This window comes from Homo sapiens, chromosome 3 (assembly GCF_000001405.40).
Source record: "Homo sapiens chromosome 3, GRCh38.p14 Primary Assembly".
NCBI lineage: Eukaryota > Metazoa > Chordata > Mammalia > Primates > Hominidae > Homo > Homo sapiens.
The window spans coordinates 43,151,145-43,153,509 of record NC_000003.12 but is presented as its reverse complement, the minus strand read 5'-3'; the positions used below and the strand labels follow the sequence as shown (position 1 = coordinate 43,153,509).

The window sequence follows — 2,365 nt, the reverse complement described above, 5'->3', positions numbered from 1 at the left end:
TCTAGTGGCTTGAAATAACGACGCATAAGAAACCTAGCTCATAAATTTACCATTGCTATTTGTCTATGGATTCCGCGTCATGGATTTTTTGCAAGTCACCCAGTGTCTCACGCAGCTGCACAGGGCTGCAGTGAATACGGACATCTGACACCCAGAGAGAGGGGCAGGCCACAAGGCTGAACACGAGAGCACACCCAGGAGTATAGGGAACATTTATTTCCTCTGAACCCATCCTCTCTGTGCTGTCTTCAGAGGTGAAGAACAAAAATAATGCTCAAAAAGATTGAAAGGACTGGTAACCTTGCTGCACAGAATCATTATTCATTTCTGATCTGAATACATTAGCAAGCCAAAGAAAAATCCAGTATACAATATGCATTCAGACTCCATGACCCTTATTTCCCGTTCCGCAACTTCGAAGGTTGGCTCGGTGACTGAGCACAGACCCTGCAGGCTAAATCAAGGCAAGCTGAAGCTGGAGATGGTTCTGGACCTGTTGGTGAAATCTCTAAGTTAGCTGGTTACTTTTCAGTGCCTAAGCTGTGCATGGAACACAGATCAAATGTGCAATACCAAGCGCCACAAGGAAAATGTCTTCACGTTAAAGGAACAGAGCCTTGCTGACTGTGGTTGCCGTTCACAATGGATAGTCCTGTGCTGCAAAGACTTTTTTTGGATCCCTGCCAATGTTAGTCTCTGCAAGACAGAATTTGATTTAATGCAGCAGGAACTGAAGACCCGCAAGACAGAATTTGATTTAATGCAGCAGACACTGAAGATCTGCAAGACAGAATTTGATTTAATGCAGCAAGTACTGAAGACCTTACTCTTCGGGGACCCTAATTCTATGTGGTATTGTGGATTTCAACGCACTTTCTGAAAGCCACACTTTTGGCTAAATGTAGCACATCATTGGGACCTGGTCCCAGCTCTTTTATTAACTGTGTGAGCCTTGACCATGACATTTGATCTCTTTGTACCTCACTTTTCTTGTCTCTATGAGGTGGGTTAATATTCTGAAATACCGACTGAGTTTTTCTTATCATATTTTCCTATACTCAGCCCTTTCCCCAACCCTTACTCTTATTTAATCAGCCAGGCTTTGTTTAGCTTATTTTTGCATTTCTTTGCCTCAGGGAAGCAGTGTAGATTAGAGAAAAAGGATATTTTTTCCTGACTTTTAATGTTTTAGACCCAATAGAACTCAGCAAGAATATGAAAAAGATAATAGATTTGGAAGAACAATAATGTAAGAGCAAATCATCCTGATTCTAAAACTAGAGATTTCCCTGGCTGCAGGAAAGAGCAACAGAGCAGGAAAGATTCTACAGACCTGCTTGGTCCATGAGCTGGGGAGTCCTGCATCCAGCCTCCTGCATCCCTGGTGAGTTCTGGGACAACAATAAGACAGGTTTGAGAGAATCTGGGGATAGATAGCATCTGGACCCCTATTCTTGGGTAAAGCCCAGGAAGTAGTAAGACTCCCAAGTTTGGAGGTAGGGAAGTGAGACAGGAAAAGGAGAAAAACCAGCAGATATATGCTCATGAGTGGGTAACCACTGTGAGCAGCTGGGGCTCAATTCTGTGGCAGACCCCTGAGAAACCATGAAGAACACAACTGTTCCATTGGAAGACAGGGAAGATGCAGCATTTGTCCACTGATTCTCTTCCTTGTTGGATGAGAGTAGCCCAGGGGATAATCTCCCCTTCATTTCTTGATAGAGCAAACACCCACAATGGTGAAAAAACACCTCATATAGAAGAGCAAAGAATATACATGCTTGGGGAGGAAAACCAGCAGCATGTAGGGTTCTCTATTCCCCATCTGCAGGCAAACTCAGAGGTGGCCCAGGAGGGTATGGGATGAGACACTCACAGCAGTTTCTACATGAGAGTGATGTCCCAGCTGAGTAATCGGGTTCAGATAAAATGAAGTTGAGTAGAACAATAACAATTCAGAATCTTGCACTTCTATATGAATGAATCATGGTTTCCCAGGTAACTGCCCTTGTACAAAATCCTAACAGTAGCCATTGAGTCTTCTCAATAATCCATGAGATGGGCATTAGTTCCATTTTACAGACAAGGAGACTGAGGCTCTGAGAGGTTCAGCAACAAATCTCTGAGACAGGATTTGAATTTGTGTCTGCGTGACTCCAAAACCTTCCATTTGTCCCCTTGAACTCTATTTCCTGACCAGCTCTTGGTGTCCTTCTCTCCTGACATCTAACCCCACCATTAGATGATGACCTCCCTCTTGACCCTTGAATCTGATGGCTGACATTGTTCTTACTTGCTCTGGGGCCAGCCCTTGTGGACAATGCTCCATCTTATTTATACCTGTGCGTGGCAGAACACTTTCAGT

The 2,365-nt window shown here is 43.9% G+C and overlaps 1 long non-coding RNA gene across 1 annotated transcript; it reads right to left on the bottom strand.

Annotated features, from left to right (window-relative positions):
* Nucleotides 1-380: 380 nt before the first annotated feature.
* Nucleotides 381-1,931, bottom strand: LOC105377051 (uncharacterized). Its single transcript, XR_940777.3, has 3 exons — nt 1,877-1,931; nt 1,334-1,391; nt 381-696 (listed from the first exon to the last, which is right to left on the bottom strand). It is a non-coding gene; the product is annotated as an uncharacterized LOC105377051 (long non-coding RNA).
* Between the last annotated feature and the right edge of the window lie 434 nt (nt 1,932-2,365).